The 17791-nt window shown below is 43.6% G+C and overlaps 2 protein-coding genes across 2 annotated transcripts in view, besides 7 other annotated features; one reads left to right on the forward strand and one right to left on the reverse strand.

Annotated features, from left to right (window-relative positions):
• Nucleotides 1-6716, reverse strand: part of RNF103-CHMP3 (RNF103-CHMP3 readthrough) — a 217693-nt gene extending 210977 nt beyond the window's left edge. Inside the window, exon 1 of the mRNA NM_001198954.1 lies at nucleotides 6576-6716. The gene's annotated coding sequence lies outside the window, so the exon portion shown is untranslated. The remainder of the gene's footprint in view (nucleotides 1-6575) is intronic.
• Nucleotides 5078-5611: an enhancer, noted in NCBI's record as "NANOG-H3K27ac-H3K4me1 hESC enhancer chr2:86946607-86947140 (GRCh37/hg19 assembly coordinates)". NCBI's record gives its function as "activates a minimal SCP1, AML or CMV promoter by ChIP-STARR-seq in primed H9 embryonic stem cells {active_cell/tissue: H9 hESC(primed)}" and the evidence as "EXISTENCE:reporter gene assay evidence [ECO:0000049][PMID:30033119]".
• Nucleotides 5732-5921: a silencer, noted in NCBI's record as "silent region_11719". NCBI's record gives its function as "represses an Ori minimal core promoter by ATAC-STARR-seq in GM12878 lymphoblastoid cells {active_cell/tissue: GM12878}" and the evidence as "EXISTENCE:reporter gene assay evidence [ECO:0000049][PMID:35858748]".
• Nucleotides 5732-5963: a biological region, named in NCBI's record as "ReSE screen-validated silencer GRCh37_chr2:86947334-86947492".
• Nucleotides 5805-5963: a silencer, noted in NCBI's record as "fragment chr2:86947334-86947492 (GRCh37/hg19 assembly coordinates)". NCBI's record gives its function as "represses an EF-1alpha promoter that drives an FKBP-Casp9 reporter gene in an ReSE screen in HepG2 liver carcinoma cells {active_cell/tissue: HepG2}" and the evidence as "EXISTENCE:reporter gene assay evidence [ECO:0000049][PMID:32094911]".
• Nucleotides 5885-17791, forward strand: part of RMND5A (required for meiotic nuclear division 5 homolog A) — a 57751-nt gene continuing 45844 nt past the window's right edge. The window contains exon 1 of the mRNA NM_022780.4: nucleotides 5885-6403. Coding sequence (NP_073617.1) covers nucleotides 6262-6403 — 142 coding nt within the window. The 5' untranslated portion in view covers nucleotides 5885-6261. The remainder of the gene's footprint in view (nucleotides 6404-17791) is intronic.
• Nucleotides 6442-6501: a silencer, noted in NCBI's record as "silent region_11720". NCBI's record gives its function as "represses an Ori minimal core promoter by ATAC-STARR-seq in GM12878 lymphoblastoid cells {active_cell/tissue: GM12878}" and the evidence as "EXISTENCE:reporter gene assay evidence [ECO:0000049][PMID:35858748]".
• Nucleotides 10577-11077: an enhancer, noted in NCBI's record as "H3K4me1 hESC enhancer chr2:86952106-86952606 (GRCh37/hg19 assembly coordinates)". NCBI's record gives its function as "activates a minimal SCP1, AML or CMV promoter by ChIP-STARR-seq in naive H9 embryonic stem cells {active_cell/tissue: H9 hESC(naive)}" and the evidence as "EXISTENCE:reporter gene assay evidence [ECO:0000049][PMID:30033119]".
• Nucleotides 11078-11578: an enhancer, noted in NCBI's record as "H3K4me1 hESC enhancer chr2:86952607-86953107 (GRCh37/hg19 assembly coordinates)". NCBI's record gives its function as "activates a minimal SCP1, AML or CMV promoter by ChIP-STARR-seq in naive H9 embryonic stem cells {active_cell/tissue: H9 hESC(naive)}" and the evidence as "EXISTENCE:reporter gene assay evidence [ECO:0000049][PMID:30033119]".

A 17791-nucleotide genomic window follows, 5' to 3' on the forward strand; every position in this document is an offset into this window, starting at 1 on the left:
TGGTCAAGCTGGTCTTAAACTCCCAACCTCAGGTGATCTGCCAGCCTCGGCCTCCCAGAGTGCTGAGATTACAGGCATGAGCCACCACACCCGGCATTATTTACTTTAAAAGGTTGCTTTGAGGACTGAGATAATCCCACATTTAAAGCAGAATGCCTAGCATGTTATAAGCACTCAATAAATTGTAGCTATTTATTAAAACCAAAATCAAAAATCAAAAATCCAAACCAAAACAAAAAAACAAACCTCATCACGTTTCCATAATGAGGAAGTAATGATTCAGACTCCAAGCTTTCGAAAACAGGAAAGATGCCTCTGTCTATTCCTGTTTGGTTGTGTTGCACCTCACATGTTACTTAATAAGCCCTGGCATCTCTGTAATTTTAGAACTGGAAGGAACTTAAAGGTCATCTATTCCAAGCTTCTCATTTTATAGATAAAGAATCTGAGGCTGAGAGGGGTTGAATGAATTACAAGATTACAGTGCTAGCACTCTTCCTGCTACAGCTGGTAAAGCACACCAACAGTGAGCAGGAAACAAACCTAAGAAAAACATCCAGATTCCAGAAAGGAAAAGACTCAGACAATAAAACCTGAGAGAGCAGGTTTCAAAAGTTATAAATAACCCCCTACAGGCTAAGCACCCAGGTACGAGGGCAGTGCCTACAAACTATACTCAAGGAAGTCAATGAGGTCCTCATGGAAGTCTATTAGGGGGTAATTTAACTGGTAGTCAACCAGACTAGAACTGCCCTGGACTTCAAGAGTGGTGAAGGCCACAGTGAGGAGGGCTATGCCGCTGAGCAGAGGCTATCTTCTACAAACAGTGGAGCTGAAAGACGGGGATGGTGGACACAGAAGTGCAATACTGTCAATACTGCATATCCAATCCCTAAGAGTCAGTCATAATGGCGAGCAAGTATCATTAATCCAGCCAGCAAACAGGCCCCAAACCACACAGGTGACATAAAAGATGTAGAAAATATTCAGATTAAGACTTTTTGCTAATAGTTGTGCTTTCACCCATTTCTTCAACTGGTCATAGCAGCAATTCCCAGAAATGTCTCAGATAGATATATATATTTTACTTGAAAATGATAAAAATGTGCCAGGCGCAGTGGGTAACTCATGCCTGTAATCTCAACTACTTGGGAGGCTGAAGCAGGAAAATCGCTTGAGCCCAGGAGTTTGAGACTACAGTGAGCCATAATTGCACCACTGCAGTCTGGCCTGGGTGACACAGCGAGACACTAACTCTTAAAACACAAAACAAAACAAAACAAGATAAAAATTGATTTGTTTAAATGAGAAGAAATGCTATTTTTTGCAATTCAGAATTTCTTTTAATAACACATTTTGTCAGTTTACTTTTACTTTTATATTAGTTGTGAGCTAGAGTAGTCAGGAAATTAGTTAGTTCTTTGCCAACCTCCCTGATTCATTTTTATTAACAGAATTATAAATGTAGTCCTTCTTACCCTTATCTGAAAGTGTGTTTTGCATAAAAGCAGAAGGTTTTTAAAAATATAATTTCTCAAATTTAAGAGATGAAATTTTTCCTTTTTCTATCTTGTCTCTCTCTGGTTTCAGTCTTCTAAGAATAATTCAAAGTGAAAATATGTATGAGATATGTTGAATAAGCTATAAGCTAGTGTAACAGCTATTAAGCATTTTAAAAAGATGTCAAAAGCAGTTCTAAAAACTGTTTTTGTTGTTGGAGGAACGTTAAGAGGACAACAAAAGCTGTTTACAAAATAGTAAATACAATGAGAGCGTTCTTTCATAAAAATGTGCATATGAGTTTATGTGTATGCACAAAAAAGAAAAATATCTGTGGAAATTCACCCCGAATGTTAAAACTGATTTTCTTTTTCTGGGTCTTGGGCTTTCATGGGACTTTTATTTCTGTTTACTTGTTTGTATTTTCTAATTTTCCTACAATAAATATGTATTTTGGCTGAAAGACAAAAGGTTTTCTTTTTCCTGTCTTTTTTTGATGTTTACTTACATTTTACAGAGTCAAATCTGGAGTGGAGGGGAAGACAAGAGCAAAGTCCAGAATGAGTATCAATTAAAGCTTCTCCAGGCTGAACAGCATGTGGGGGCAGGAGTCCACTTGATACTAAAGTGGGATTTTGTGTGTGTGTGTGTGTGTGTGTGTGTTCTTCCTTATTGTGTGGTGAAAATGCAATTATAGAAAACTAATTTGCGCGGCGCGCGGTGGCTCATGCCTGTAATCCCAGCACTTTGGGAGGCCGAGGCGCGTGGATCACGGGGTCAGGAGATCGAGATCATCCTGGCTAACACAGTGAAACCCCGTCTCTAGTAAAAATACAAAAAAAGATTAGCTGGGTGTGGTGGCGGGCGCCTGTAGTCCCAGCTACTCGGGAGGCTGAGGCAGGAGAATGGCGTGAACCCAGGAGGCGGAGCTTGCAGAGAGCCGAGATCGCGCCACTGCACTCCAGCCTGGGCGACAGATCGAGACGCTGGCTCAAAAAAAAAAAAAAAAAAAAAAAAAAAAACTAATTTGCAGTTGCTCTGAAAACTAAATTTCTTTCCCTGTTGTTTCTAGAGGTGCTTCTTTGACAATTCACAGTTTAGGCTTAAGGCAATTAGGCACTGTGTAGAAAGGGCCAATACAAAGTGAAGAAGCAACATAAATCTCTGCCCTTACAAGTACTATTTTTCTCTCCCAGCTAACTCTGAAGCCTCTTCTCCTCTAATCTGCGTATTCTTTTTCCTTTAACAAACACTTTTTTTCATGCTGATTAAATCATGGGAGATAAAAAGAAGTCAGCCCAGATCTGAAAACTGATAGTCTAGTTGAGTCAAAAAGGCACATGTTGGAAAAGTTAACTAAAAATATGGGGGCAGTATGCACTAAGGCATGAAATGACTTACACAGAGGTCTTACAGCAGTTAAAGGTAGGGCTGGTAACTTTACTGTGGTCATGGTCTAGATCAGCACTGTCCAACAAAACTTTTCTACAGTGATGGAAATATTTATTTTGCGCTGATTAATACAGTAGCCACCAGCTACATGTGGTTATTATTTGATATGTGGTTAGCACAATTGGGGAACTAAATTTTAAATTATCTAGCTTATATTTCAATTTAAATAGCTACACGTGGGTCGGGTGCGGTGGCTCACGCCTATAAATCCCAGCACTTTGGGAGGCTGAGGCGGGTGGATCACGAGGCCAGGAGTTTGAGACCAGCCAGGCCAATATGGTGAAACCCTGTCTCTACCAAAAATACAAAAATTAGCTGGGCGTGGTGGTGTGTGCCTGTAGTCCCAGCTGCTCAGGAGGCTGAGGTAGGAGAATCACTTGAACCCGGGAGGCAGAGGTTGCAGTCAGCCGAGATCCCACCACTGCACTCCAGCCTTGGTGACAGAGTAAGACTCCATCTCAAAACAAAAAAACAAAAAAACAAACAAACAAAAAAACCTGCTTGTGGCTGGTGATTATGGTATTGAAGAGTGCAGGACTAGGTTCTAGAAGGTGTCACTAGTTAAAGTAAGACTTGTCTTGTTACTTGAAGAAAGGGAGGATTCGAAAAACAGAATAAAGAAAAGTGTCCCAGAAGAAGGCAAAGTATGAATGGGCTGTACTCAAGTCACACTAAGGGTGGGAAAGTGCTTCATGCCTGGATAGGGGTTTGTGCTGTGTTGCTACACAGGGCAGACCATGTCCTTGAGAGAGGATCTGAAGCTGTAGGTAATGAGGAGTCATTGATTATTTGTGATCAGTGGATTATCATGGCTCTTACCTTGTGCCAGGCATTTTGTTGAGTGCCTTAAATGGAATATTTCATACTATAACAACCCTTTGAAGGAGAAGAAAAAAAAAAGACTGAGAAAAGGGTGACTGAGCTTATCAAGGAGATCCTTGAAGAAAAGGGAGGAATAAACATAGATTTGTCTAGGCAGTTTGGCAGTGAAAGAAATGAGTGCTTGAGGAGGGTTAAATTAAGTTTCCTCCCCCAGGTAGGTCAAACCCATTTGGGCTGAAAGTAGAAAGGAAGAACCTACTGCAGAGAAAGAGGGGGAAGATCTGGACAGGGGTGAGAGGCAGCCCGCAGGCCCCAACGGCTGTCTTGGAAAGGGAGAAGGGACTCCTGGTCCTTTGGGTACATGAGAATGTTCACAAAATGGGTGGTACACAGCAATACTTGGAGAAGAGTGATAGAAGTTGCTGGAGCTAGATTTTTTTTTTTTTTTTAATCTCAGTGAAGAATCAGAGACATCTGCCAAGAGGGAAGAAAAATGGGGTGGGGAGAAGGGAGATCTGAAATAATACCAGTTGGGGCTGCCCTAATAATGACTACTACCACCTTTATCATGTGGTTATCATGAGCCTATTATGGGTATTTACATATATTCTCCTTTATCTAACAATTTAGTTAAGTATTAATTCCAATTATTTCTCAGTTATACGGAAGTTAAGGCTCAAAAACGTTATCACGTTAATTTAAGAAAAAGAATTGCCTACCACCTCACGCCAGGGGCTGTTCTAGGCAAAAAATTTAGACAAGCAGGGGGCCTGCCGTCATGGTTTTATGTAAGTGGTGCAGACAGAAAAATAAAACATCAGATCATTTCAGAGTTTAAGTGGTGTGGAAATAATAAAATGTGTTATGGTATTAACGGTGGGGAGGAAGTACATTAGTGTGGTCAGCCAGGGGAGGACCCTGTAAGGGGACAAGTGAGCTGAGAAGAACTTCAGGATGAAAAAGGTAGGAGGAAGAGTTTTCTGGGCCAAGGAAAGGGCAAGTGCAGAGGCCCTGAGGCACGAACTAGCTGGGCTCCTGAAGAAATGCAAAGGTAGTGCAGCCGATGCTGATCAAGGAGGTCTAGGCCAAGGCTGCAGACGCCATAGCAAGCGATGGGAAGGATTTACCCGAGGGGGTAAAGCCGATCCGATCCGATAGCATAAGGCTTCCTAGGGAGCAAGGGCCAGGCTGCCCGGCTCTCCAGCGCGTGTTCTTTCCACCCGGCTAAGCTGCCCGGCACATGGCTCTGGGGCGAGGCCACCGTCAGGAGAGGTTCCAGGCCAAGGGGCCAAAGGGCCACGGTCCGCGGGGGATGGGGACATGACCTCCTGGGTGTCGCAAGCCCGGGGCAGCGCTGACAGCCGGCGCGGGCCTTTCGCGAGCAGCAAGCGGCTCCCCTCACCCGGGCCCAATCACCCCCGCCTTTAATTCCCATTAGGGACCCCCCGCCGACGCAGAACCAGCCCCCGGGCGGCCTGGCTTGGTTTTTCATTCCCGGGAGATGGATCCGTCGCCCAAAAGTTCGGAATGACGGTACCCCTTTCCCTTAAGATCGATGAGGAGACGAAATAAATTGGGATCAGGGCGACGTCCTATGGAAAACAGCCTTTTGTATTTTTGTCTAGTTTTCCCCCAAGGCTTTCCATAAACTACTCGTTTCTCGGTACGCTCTCCAAGTCACCCCCTCCAACAGCGAGCCCGTTGGTTTGGCCCCTCAGCCCGGATTGGCTGAAGGCTTACGCCTCGGCCAGGGATTGGCTTCTTACCACTCCCCGCGCCCATTGGTTGGGGTTCCCCGCTTCTGGGCGGAGTGGTGAGGGCCGGTTTCCGCCTCCTTGTTTATGGAGCGCGTAGTTGTTGCGCTCTCCGAGCGCTGGGGCTGTCTCCAAAGTTCCCTATTTAGCTCCTCAGGCCAATTGGGGCCTCGCTCCACCCTCGCCCTCTCCCTCGCACGCCTTCCGTGTGGTACGGCCCACACCATTAGAGTGGCGGCGCGTGTGGGCGCCCGTCGCGTTCCTCCGCCCGTTCTCGCCGGGTCGCACCCCCCACCCCGAGGGTGTACTTGGTACGGCCCGCGCCGCCTCCTTTCCTCGCCCGGGTGGCCATCCCCCTCCCCCCAGTCGGCGGCGCTTGGTGCCGCCCGGGAGAACCAGGTCATCGGTCGGTTCCCGTGAAAACAAAAACAATCGGCCGCGCCGTCGCAGGCACCCGAACGTCGCGAGCGGGGCCTGGGGACGCGGAGCCGAGTGCAGCGAGCGAACGGGAGCAGCGGCGACTCGCCGGGGGGCTAGGGCGCCATGGGGCAGGCGGGCTCCGGCTGCGCGGGGCTCCCCCGGCGCCGCGGCTAGTGCGCCCGCCGCCTCGGCCGCCTCAGCCTCCCGCGCCGCCCGCTTGGGGAACGAGGAGCAGGACGCGGCCTCGGTGGGGCCCGGGCCGAACGGCTGCGGACACCTGGGCGCCGAGGAGCCGAGCGCCGCCGCCTCCGGCATGGATCAGTGCGTGACGGTGGAGCGCGAGCTGGAGAAGGTGCTGCACAAGTTCTCAGGCTACGGGCAGCTGTGCGAGCGCGGCCTGGAGGAGCTCATCGACTACACCGGCGGCCTCAAGCACGAGATCCTGCAGAGCCACGGTAGGGCGGCCCGCGTGGGCGCGCGGGGCATGGCCCACTGCCCGAGCCCCGGTCCCGGCCCCGCGGCGGGAATCCCTCACCCACCCTCGCGCCTCTGGCCCGGCCCTTGCCTCCCCTGAGGCGCGGAGGCCCCCAGACCCCTGAGACTTTTTCCCCTCTTCGTCCGATTTACCTCGAACCTGCCGCGACCTCGCTGCCAATTCAGAAGGAGCGCGAACCACCCGGAAACCCAGCCGGGAGCGGCGGGCTCCAGTCCGGATAAACGTGGGTGAGGGGGCCGCCCATCGCACCTGCAAACTGCCGACCCCCGAGTGGGCGCCCCTCGTCCCCCGCTCCCAGCCGGCCCCGGGAGTCTCACGTGGTGCCCGCGGCGCTGTTCTGTGGGCGGTGACTGAATCGCCTGGGACCCCAGGTTCTGAGTGATGAGGGCAGTGCAGGAAGCTCCGTTTCCCCTCTGTGCCGCCCCGAATCCTTGGCCAGGGGACTTCGTTTCTTCGTTTTATTTTGGAAAGTCGAGCGTTATTCTTAGCTGTGGGTTAACAACAGCCGCTCCTGCAACTTCATGATTTGGCTGCTGTGTGGACGCAGCTCTTAACTCCGCAGCGGCTCTGACATGGTTCCTTGGAAACCAGCTCAATTCAACCCTTCTGTTCTCCCAGTGTACCTTCTGATGACACCGAGGAGGAACGGGCGACATTTGCCCAAGTAAATTGTGCACATGTTGCTAGTTACTTGCTTTGCCTGGTTAAGTTCGTTCAAAAAAAATAAATTTTCCTATAGAAGGTGTTTCACCTAGATTGTTTTTTTTTTTACTGCCCCAAGCCCTGAGGACAGGTACTTTTAAAGGTTTGGTTTTCTTACACTTTAGAAGTCACAGCGATGATTCCTTTTGATCAAGAAGTGAAGGACTTATTTAATGGGTCTTTAATAAGAGGCTGAGGGGGCTTTTCAGCTTGTGGGCTGAACAGAAATTTATGTGAAGGACGGTTTGGTAGCTGGGGGAAGATGCAGATTATTTGTGGCAGGTGAGATGAGGGCAGTGGCGTTAGCTGAGTGTCTCTCTCCTTCTCCTTCATTTTTTCACACTTTCCCAGACTGCGTTTCAGTTGAGGATGGGTGCTGGTCCATGGGAAAGGAGTCTTACAGCAGCTTCTCATTCTGGACACTGCAGTCATTTTTGAACTCCAGGAAGGAAGCAAACCTGCAGTCATAGTGGATGAGATTTTAATATGGAAAAACCGTATTAATTCTCATAGGAGTTGCAATACTAGTATGGAAAAACGAGCAGACCTTGGTGGCTGCCTGTGAAGGGAAATTTGACTGACGTGGCGATGATGATATAGTTGGTAGATACAGGGAAGTGAAGGTGGAATGGGACAGGAATCCTGGGAAGACTTTGAATTTGGTTTTGGACATGTGAAGTAAGGTTGAAGGGCTTAATGAAGATAGAATCGAGGGCTTTCCTATTTACTGGTGGCTGGAGATGCATAGGTCTAAGATTGTTTTCTGATGTCATTTCTAGGAGGACAGTGGAGGGGATCACTTAGATTGCACAGAAGAAAGACTAGAGTCTAACCACAGTCTTGAATTTTCCTTGGCGAGTGGAGAGCCAAGGCTAGATAGAGCCAGCAGAAATCGAAAAGGGCGAGGACTTAGAAAAGGAGAGATTGGTCAGCTTTTATTTGGCTATTGGGAGTCAGTAACCCTCTGTGCTTGCAGTTTCATAGAATTGCTAAGACAAGCCAGATTACTGGGGGTTAAGAAGAAAAATTCGATGTGAACCGAGGTGTGGGAAATCCAGTACAGCGGTGGGAGGTATTCCCTCTGTGCTCCCGGCCCTGCCAAGGAACCAGTGGAGGAAGAGAATGAAGGGCCTAGACTTGGAGAGGTGGAAGGAACATTTCGTTTTTAGGGACCAGGTCATAGGCAGAGTTTGAGAGGAAAATGATGGAACAGAAAGTACCTTTCTTCCATGAGAGAGGATGTAAGTTGAAGGGGGATGTGATTGTGAGCTTTGTTTTAGAAAATTTAGGGCCAGGCTCAGATGGATAAAATGATGGTGAGAAATTGCTGAGGCAGGAATTTGTTTTTGACTCTCCACTGGGTACTAGGGAACTTTTCTCAGAATTTATGGTTTGAGGGGTATTGGCCACACAGTATGCTATGCTGTTAAAAACAGTCTGAGTTGGTGAGTTTGTGTGTTCCCTTTTCAGCCTCCTAATTTTTTCCCTCTTGTCTACCAAATTGCTAGTCTTATATTGGTATCTCTTTGATTTCCTTTAATTCTTCAATAATAGGATTAAGTGACTAAAGGTAGTTATAAAACATGAAAGAAAATAAATACCACAAGTGCCAGGTCTAGTTTCCCAAATAAAATCTTTCTTCTTTTGGTGTTTTTTTGTGTAAAGATAAACATCATGCTTTGGCATCTGGGCTATGGTATTTTTGAAAACAGATGATTTCTAAATTAAAGTTCTCGGCAGGTGATGTGGTAGATATTACATTGAAACTTAAATATGCCCTTCTCAAAGGTATTTTACTGAAAACTGAGTTTGGAACTCTATTTTCAAGTTTAAAGGGAAGATTTTTGGGCTTCTGAATATACCTGTCTGGGCAAATGATTCTGATAACCTGAGAGGCTCTAATTGGGACCCCTCTGTCAGGACTTTGGACCTCATTCTCTGAGATTACTTGTGGTAATACTTGCAAGAATCTGGTATGAATAAAACAGAATTTTTGAGGACTATATAGAACACATCATTGCATCATACTGGTGAATGACTGTTGCAGAAGCATCCTTTAGCCAACCTAAAGGGATTGGTTCAGTTTCTGAGGATGAATGTTTTATGTTAAAATTTTTTTTTCATCTCTGAAGTTGTGAGCAGACAGCTATATACTAAATGAGCTGTTAGGATAGTTTGTGATGGAAACTGATCATACATAAATAAGAGTTTAGTTAGTAAGCCCATTGACAACCCTTTTCTAGTCTCAGCACCCTTATTCCAGATTGTAAATACTGCCTGATTGCTGGCTGGGAGATAGTCCTGCAGTGAGCCCTAAAATTTCTCAGGTGGTCTAAATCACCTTTAAGTAGCTTGAAATTCTTTTACATAAAATTTCTCTCGTTAATCTTTTTTAAAATGCAAGTTTCTTAATGCAGATACACTTGGGGAAATGAGGATAGTATGGGCTGGTCTCTCATACCTGGTGAATTGGTTTGTGCTCTGCCATTTAATCCACCTCTGGCCAAATCCGTCAGCCTGACAACAGGAATATCTTTTTTTTTTTTTCTTTTAAATGGGGTTGGACTGGTATCAGGCCTGCAGCAGAGAACAATAATGGAATATAAGGCTCTGAGAGGGAAGTGCAGGCTTCGACTTGGTGCCATAGACAGTTAGGGAATATTGGTGGTTCAGGGACAACATAGGTGTAATAGAAACATGAAGAGGCAATAAGAACCAGGGAGAATACTGAAGAGCTCTGCCGAGGCCAAGACATTCCTCTCCCTGGAGACTGACTCTAGACTTCTCTTCATGCCTTTGGAATTAGAAACCTTAGGGTGGTAGATAGGAGGGTGGGGAGTGATCCAGAGCCTGCAGTGAGGTGTCCAAGGTAAGAGGAATAGAGATCACAGCTTCTGTCATTTAGTTGTGCCAGCCTTTCAGTGAGAGTTTCCCTGTGAGCACGAAGTTTGGTCTAAGTTCATTGTGGTTAATGTAGGCTGGTGGTCATTCCCAGTGTGCCTCGATCTAATTTGTATAGTGCACTGGTGCTTCTAAAACTTCACTCATACACATGTGCACTCTTATTTTTCAGATGGATTCACGATTTTACTTAAGTAGATTTATCTTAGGCAGTGATATTTGTGTAGTCCTACATGTGGTATGTAGGTATTAGGTATAATAAACTACATGTTAAAATAAATTCATAACAATTAAAATATTAGTTTACATACTAGCTAAAATTACCATTCGCATCAGTGGTATGGGAGCGGTGCTTTGGATAACCCTGGCTTAACAGGGTTAACTACTGTATGGTTAACTTTTAGTGATTTGATTTGTGAGTATATGCCTTTTAGCATTTTTTTCCTATTGGCAAATTTATATTGTTTCCCATTAGCACCTCTGTGGTGGAAGGGAAAAACAGAAAAGAACTATTTATCATGTTTTGCTGGTATTCTGCACTCATACTTTGTGAAAGAAAATTAGGCAGAAACAGTTGGTAATGGTTTCAGGACACATTTAAAAGTATACTTGGGAAAATTGCAGTTTTTGTAAGAGTAAAGGACATGCAGTATTCTTTTCTGATTATTTTTAGACTAACGGAGTTCTAATGTGGTTTCTGAAAGTGACTTTCAAGGAATTTTCTAAATTTAAAATTTATTTATTAATTTTTAGTAAGTCATACATTCAAATGGTATCCATTCAAACAATGAAAAAGATAACCCAGTGAATAGTACATTCAAATGGTATAAACTCAAATGATAAAAAAGGACACCCATTGAAAAATCTTTCTACTCTTGTTCCTGGACCACCTGGTTGCCCACTTCACAGACATAAATGCCAGTCTCCAGAAAAAAAATTTTTTTGTTGTTTTTTGAGACAGCCTCCCTCTGTCACCCAGGCTGGAGTGCAGTGGTGCGATCTTAGCTCACTGCAACCTCCGCCTCCTGGCTTCAGGCAATTCTCCTGCCTCAGCCTCCTGAGTAGCTGGGATTACAGGCACCACCTGCCACCATGCCTGGCTAATTTTTGTATTTTTAGTAGAGACGGGGTTTCAACATGTGGGTCAGGCTGGTCTTGAACACCTGACCTCAAGCAGTCCACGCGCCTCGGCCTTCCAAACTGCAGGGATTACAGGCGTGAGCCACTGCGCCCGACCTCCAGAAAAAATTTTAAAAGAATCCAGTGAAATGACGATTTGTCACTTTTCCTTTTTTCTTTAACGCATCAGATATGTATTTCCATTTACTATGATTAAGGCTTAGTGTTATCTCACTTTGCAAGTTGGTAAAGATGTCTTCATCTGTGGGAGTGATCAACATATACTGTATTAGCACCTAAAACTCCTTTGGTGTGTGTGTATGTTGTGACTTCTAGTAGTAAAACTCATGTAAACCATAACTCCTACCCTTATCTCTTTGGTGAATCAAAGAAACTGTTGAAACTTTGGTTACCAGTTGGAGAACTGCTTTCTTTTTAAAAATGTGAAGGTAACAAATGAGAAGGTAAGTAGGCAAGTAAAACATGAAAAACAAAAAAAGAAACTTGTGGAGGTCACATTTTTAACTCATTGCTGTGGTATGATATTGCATCAGTACACAAAAACCAGAGGTTGAGGGTCGCATGTTAGGTATAATCTTCCAATCTAGAATTTGGGTTGTGTATATTAAACACATGTGTTGAAAAGTATGCTTATTTGTATATATGAATGATCTGTGCTTTTTCAGAGCCGACCAGTGTTGAATATATTGTTTTGAATGAAAGTAAATGTATTATATCGGGGCTTGGTAGACTTGTAGCTTGTTTACCTTTTTAGCCTTATTCTTTGGTGTGCATGGAGTAGGCCTCATAGCCAGGTTGCCCATTTGTTACCCAGACTTTTGCTAAATACTAACAAGACACTCTTGAGAGAATAGTGACTTTGTTTTGAATACAATTTGATATCTGTTTTTAACATCTAGTCTGGAAAATAGTATATCAGTAGGTCATAAATAAAAGTTTGGGAGGACATTGTTCAAACATTCTAAGAGAAGAACAGACTGGTTCTCAAGTTATTTAGGCCATTTTAGGTGGTAAGAATAAAAAGTCAGTATATTGGTGTTTCCAGTTGGGTTTAGAAGTAGATTTAACTTTGTTAGCCATTCTTTTTCCAGACGTACTCTGGAGATAATTAATTCTTTTTTATTTGGCACCGTATTCATTTAGACTGGCAGGTGACATAATAGTGTTCATTAAAATGGAATTTGTTGATGTATAAATAGGCTGAGGTTAGGGCTAGGCTGGCTCCAGGGGCACCAGGCATGTCATCAGGACTGATCTTGTTCTCTTCTGTCAACTGTTGGCTTTATTTTCAGGGTAGTTTTCTTCACATGGGGTAGAGATGACCAATGGAGCTCAAAAGACAGGAACATGGCCATTTTGTTGGAGATACTCCAGGGAGTACCTTTATTATTCCGTTATGGATCCTTTCCCTGAATCAGTAACTGGGACCAGGGAGTGAGGTCTTCTGGCCACCTTGAGCTGTGCTCACCCCCTCAGGAGGTATATGGCCTTATAATACACTGTTCATCAGGTAAAGAGACAGTTCTAGAAAGGAACACTTAAACCCAGACAGAGTAATATATGTCTATTACAGTGCAACAGCTACATGTTATATCAGTAACATTCTCTGAGATGTTTTCCTGACTAGCCTCGCCTTCTCAGCTTTTGCCTGGCCTCCTAACTATAATGCTCATATAATTCAAGTAGTGAGTTGTTAGTATGACTTAATCTATAGACTAGAGAATACAACTTGGTTCATGTTCCTCTAGAACTTTTTTGAAATTACTTTAATGCTTGACATAGTAAAGTAATTTTCCTAAAGTTATTTTATTTCTAAAGTAGTTTCTAACTCTGGATAATAACATTGGTAAGGAGAAACTTGCCAACACTTCTGTGATACTGTCATACTAGAGCTAATAGAGAAGTTTCTGTTGTTTTCATGTCTTAGTCTCTTAGTCTTTAGGATGATGAAAATGGTGTTTTAGCAAACTGTTCACTTGGAATATTAAAACTAACTTATTTTTATTTAGGGCCCTGCTTCTTCATCTGTAAGGCTTCCAAAATCTTTAAAAATGATCCAAAAATGCAGTTTAGGGAGAAAATTGTGGAGGGCCCTGGCTCTGAGCTATGTGTACTTGGAGACCCGTGGTACTTCCAGGAGATGATGCTCTCTAACTGGACGTTTCCTTGAAAGCTCTGAGAGTAGCAGACACTTCTGGCCATTCTCTTTAGATTAGATGTTAACTCAACCCTTCAGAGAACAAAGACTAGACTGTCTGGCAGGACTCGAGGATTTTGAGAAATACAGTATGCTTTCACCTTATATGGGTGTGGTGATTGTGTGGCTGAGCTCAAAATGGTTGTTTGGGAATGTCGCTTGGAGAGGCCATAGGCTTATATTACCAAGTCTTTCTCCACTTAAGATGGAGGCCTGGATGGTGATTTCGTCTGTTATGGGGGCACAATGTAGTGTCAGGCTGTGTGTTATTTATGATGAGTTTGTTGTATCTGCAGAATTCATATAGGTTTAATTCATCTTATTGATACATGAAGACATTTGGGAGGAGATGAGGAGAGAATCTTTTAAAAGAAACATTATTCATGGCCCTGGTCCTCCAGGAACTTGGAGGCTAATTGAGAAGATGAATCTGTATTTGTGGAATAGTACCTAAAATTTTGACCCTGGGCCCAGGAGGTCTGGGTTTGAATCCTTGCACTGCCAATTTACTGGTTCTACAATCTTTTTTTTTTTTTTTGGAGACAGAGTCTCACTCTGTCACCTAGGCTGGAGTGCAGTGGTGTGTGATCTCAGCTCACTGCAACCTCTGCCTCCAGGGTTCAAGCGATTCTTGTGCTCCCAAGTAGCTGGGATTACAGGTGTGCACAATGCATGGCTAATTTTTGTATTTTTAGTAGTGACGGAGTTTCACTATGTTGGCTAGGCGGATCTTGAACTCCTGGGCTCAAGTAATCCACCCGTCTCAGCCTCCCAAAGTGCTGGGATTACAGGCATGAGCCACCACGCCCGGCCTGATCCTACAATCTTGCTTAGCCAGTTTTTCCTTCAGTAAACTGACATCACAGAGTTATGAGAGTGAAATAAATAATAGACGTGAACTGGCTTTGAAATTTGTAAAACAGGGTAGACGTGTTATTTATAAAGTCTGTGCCTTAAGTGGTGTTAAGCTTTTTTTTTTTTGAGGCTGAGTCTCGCTCTGTCACCCAGGCTGGAGTGCAGTGGCATGATCTTGGCTCACTGCAACCTCTGCCTCCCAAGTTCAAGCGATTCCCCTGCCTCAGCCCCCGAGTAGCTGCGATTACAGGCGCATGCCACCAGGCCTGACTATTTTTTTTTTGTATTTTAGTAGAGACGAGATTTTACCATGTTGGCCAGGATGGTCTCGATCTCTTGACCTCGTAATCTGCCCGCCTTGGCCTCCCAAAGTGCTAGGATTATAGGCGTGAGCCACCACGCCGGGCCCAAGCACTGTTTAATTGAGACATTTTGGGTAATATTTAGGTGTCTTTATTACTGGTTTATGTTAAATACCACTCTGTGTCCAGTGGTCTGCTTAACATTGTAAAGAATGCTTAAAAGGTATAAGAAAGAGTCTTTAAGGAACTTAGAAGTTAGTTGGAGAGACCAGACTCATATTTGAAAGGGGGAAAAAACAAGACCACGGCACACAGTGTATAACAGTGCTTCTGGTGAGTACAGACACCAGTGAAGAGAGAGAGCCCTTAGAAAGAACTGCATGGGAGTAGATGGGCATTATTTCAACTGAACTTTAGATCACCTCATCAGTAGTTATTAATCACCATTTATAGGTAGAACTAAGCAAAATCTTCTAGGAGTTACAAAGAACAAGCATTTTCATCCTCTAAGAACTTTGTGTCCAGTTAGGGAGATGAGACTGGCATTTTTTAACAAACACACAAACAAAAGCAGTGCCCTGTAATGCACGGTTATGTATCTAGGCTAGATGCTACATGAGTGGTGTGGACAAAAAGGGGTGGGATTTGAGACAAGGAGAGACTCTTTTTACCTATGGGAAGTTTTAGTAGCAGAGATTGAATATGGATAGCAGAAAGAGCAGATGGAGTGCCTGGAGGGGAGGATGGCAAGAACAAAGGTGTAGAGGAGTGAGAGGTGAAGGACCAGATTGCAGGGGAAAGGCGATAAGAGCATTAAAATTAAATTGGAATCAGGTTTTGTAAAGCCATGGATACCAGGGAAAGTAGTAGACTGGGAAGATATTGAATTACTTTGGGGTGGGGTGGGGACATTTTGAATAGGGAGGGGACAGGGACACGATCAGAGACCAGTTGTCAGCAGTATTTAGGTTGGTTTGGAGTTGGGAGTGAGGTTTGACTAGAGGCAAGAACGTTAGCTAAGGCTAAGTGTCAACCTAGATTTGATGAAATAGGGACCTGTCTTTGGGTACTGGTGGTAGAAATTTAAAGGGACACATGAAAGGGATTTCTGAGGGAAGGAATGACCAGGAGTTGGTGCACAGATGGAGTCTGGCAGAGTAGGAGAAAAGGGCAGGAAAAACCAAAGGTTAATCCAAGGTTTTAAACATGAATGATGGGTAGATCATTATGGAACCAGGTAGAAAATAGGAAGTTTAGGAGAGGGGAAGGTGGAAATCTGAGTTTGATTTTTTTTTGTTTTTGTTTTTGTTTTTTTGGGGGGTGGGGGAGGGGGGGTCTCATTCTGTTGCCCAGACTGGATTGCAGTGTCTCGGCTTACCACAATCTCTGCCTCCTGGGTTCAAGTGTTTCTTCTGCCTCAGCCTCCTGAATAGCTGGGATTACAGGCATGCGCCACTACCGCCTGGCTAATTTTTGTAGTTTTAGTAGAGATGGGGTTTCACCATGTTGGCCAGGCTGGTCTTGAACTCCTGAACTCAAATGATCCACCCACCTCGGCCTCCCAGAGTGCTGGGATTATAGGCGTGAGCCACTGCACCTGGCCTGAGTTTGATTTTTAAATATGAAATCCAGATTCCAATGCTACAGGAAACCTAATGTGGTTCCACCATTCATTTCAGAGATAAATGAGATGCCTAGAGATTAAGTCTTTATATTTGGAATTTGAAGGGAGTGAATAGGTTCTCTAAAATGTGACTGTCACAGACATATGTTTAAAATCTTGTGCCTGTATCTTTTTTCTTCTCTCTGCAATTCTTGCCTCATATACTTTGAAGCCTTTCCTGTCTTCTCTATGATAGTCATTGATACTGTTCTTTGCTCCAGGAGCACTATTAGTCTGTACCATGTAATTTCACTCTAAATATTAACTTTATTTCGTTTTTTTCCCCTCATGTTTGGTTTGCAGCACACTGTGCCTCTAATTTGATGCACAGTCTTTAATAATCTCTCTGGATCAGAACACGTGTCTGTCAGTCTACTGTTCTCTGAAAGGTCAGGAGTTGAACACCAAATACCATACTTTCTTTTACTTTGCAGATTTACCAGCTACTAATATACTGGAAAAATTTTGTTTTCAGTGTTTACCTCCTCCAGAAAAAAATGAATGTGTTCTATTTGTGCCTTTTCTCTTTCCTCTAAGCAGCCGCTGTGTCCTAGGTGCTGAAGTAGCTCACAAGAATCCCAAATTTCAATGGGCCGCAGTTTATTTTACTACAGACAAAATGAAATAGTCCCTTATTTTTAAAAAATTCCAACCTTACCTTTTCAAGTTTCAAGTTTTTCTATTCTAGTACTTCGCAAGGATATCCATGGTCACCTTGTCAGTGACTTTTCTAGAGTCAGTCTTAGATCTTTTTATCCTTTATCTACTTTATTCCCATTCTAAATTTCTTAAATCTGTGTAGAAATTGGTAACATGGGAAAAGTATCTTGAACATTGCTGACACAGGCCTTCAGCACTCAATAAATGTTAATTGACTCTAAATGTTATAGTTCTCCCTTTTACATTTTTTTCTGTTTTTTCTTGGTTTCATTTTGTATTTTAAGGCATCAAGGCTTTTATAAGAGTGGTATATCATAGATTTCCCCCCCCACCAGCCTTCTTAGTGATGCCTAATACTCTTTTAGCTTTCTGATTTTAGTGTTTTTATTTAAATAGCTAATCTAGAATGAATTCTGGAGTATATCTCTATGAGGTCTGAGTTTTCATTTAGGTACAGTTAGGTTTGTTTCCTAAATGGATTTCTTTGTATTTATCTGCATCAAAACTTGTGTTCCATTTTGCTTTCCACTTAATTCTAAATTTAAGATCTCTGTCCATCTTATGAAAGTGGAGTTAACTTTTCATAACTCAGAAGAGCTCAAATGCGATACATGTAATATTTATAAACTTGGATATTTTAAATTTTTACTGCCTATAGGATATTCATTAAAATGTCAAGCCAGGTCTTAGTGATTTCTGCGGAATCTTATTTCTGTGGAAATATTCCAGTCTTAGGTGGTGATACTTTCAACCTTCTTGAAAATCATCACCATAACAATACTTTTTTATATTGTGCCTCCCTATTTTTTTATAGAGTGCTCTCAAGTATGGTGGGTCTCATCTCTCATGTGTTTGACTCGTGGGCAGCATGTATTTCATGGTGTAATTGACACCTTTAAACTGCCTTTTATAGACCAAATTAGAACT

The sequence above is a fragment of the Homo sapiens genome, chromosome 2, assembly GCF_000001405.40.
Source record: "Homo sapiens chromosome 2, GRCh38.p14 Primary Assembly".
Taxonomy (NCBI): domain Eukaryota; kingdom Metazoa; phylum Chordata; class Mammalia; order Primates; family Hominidae; genus Homo; species Homo sapiens.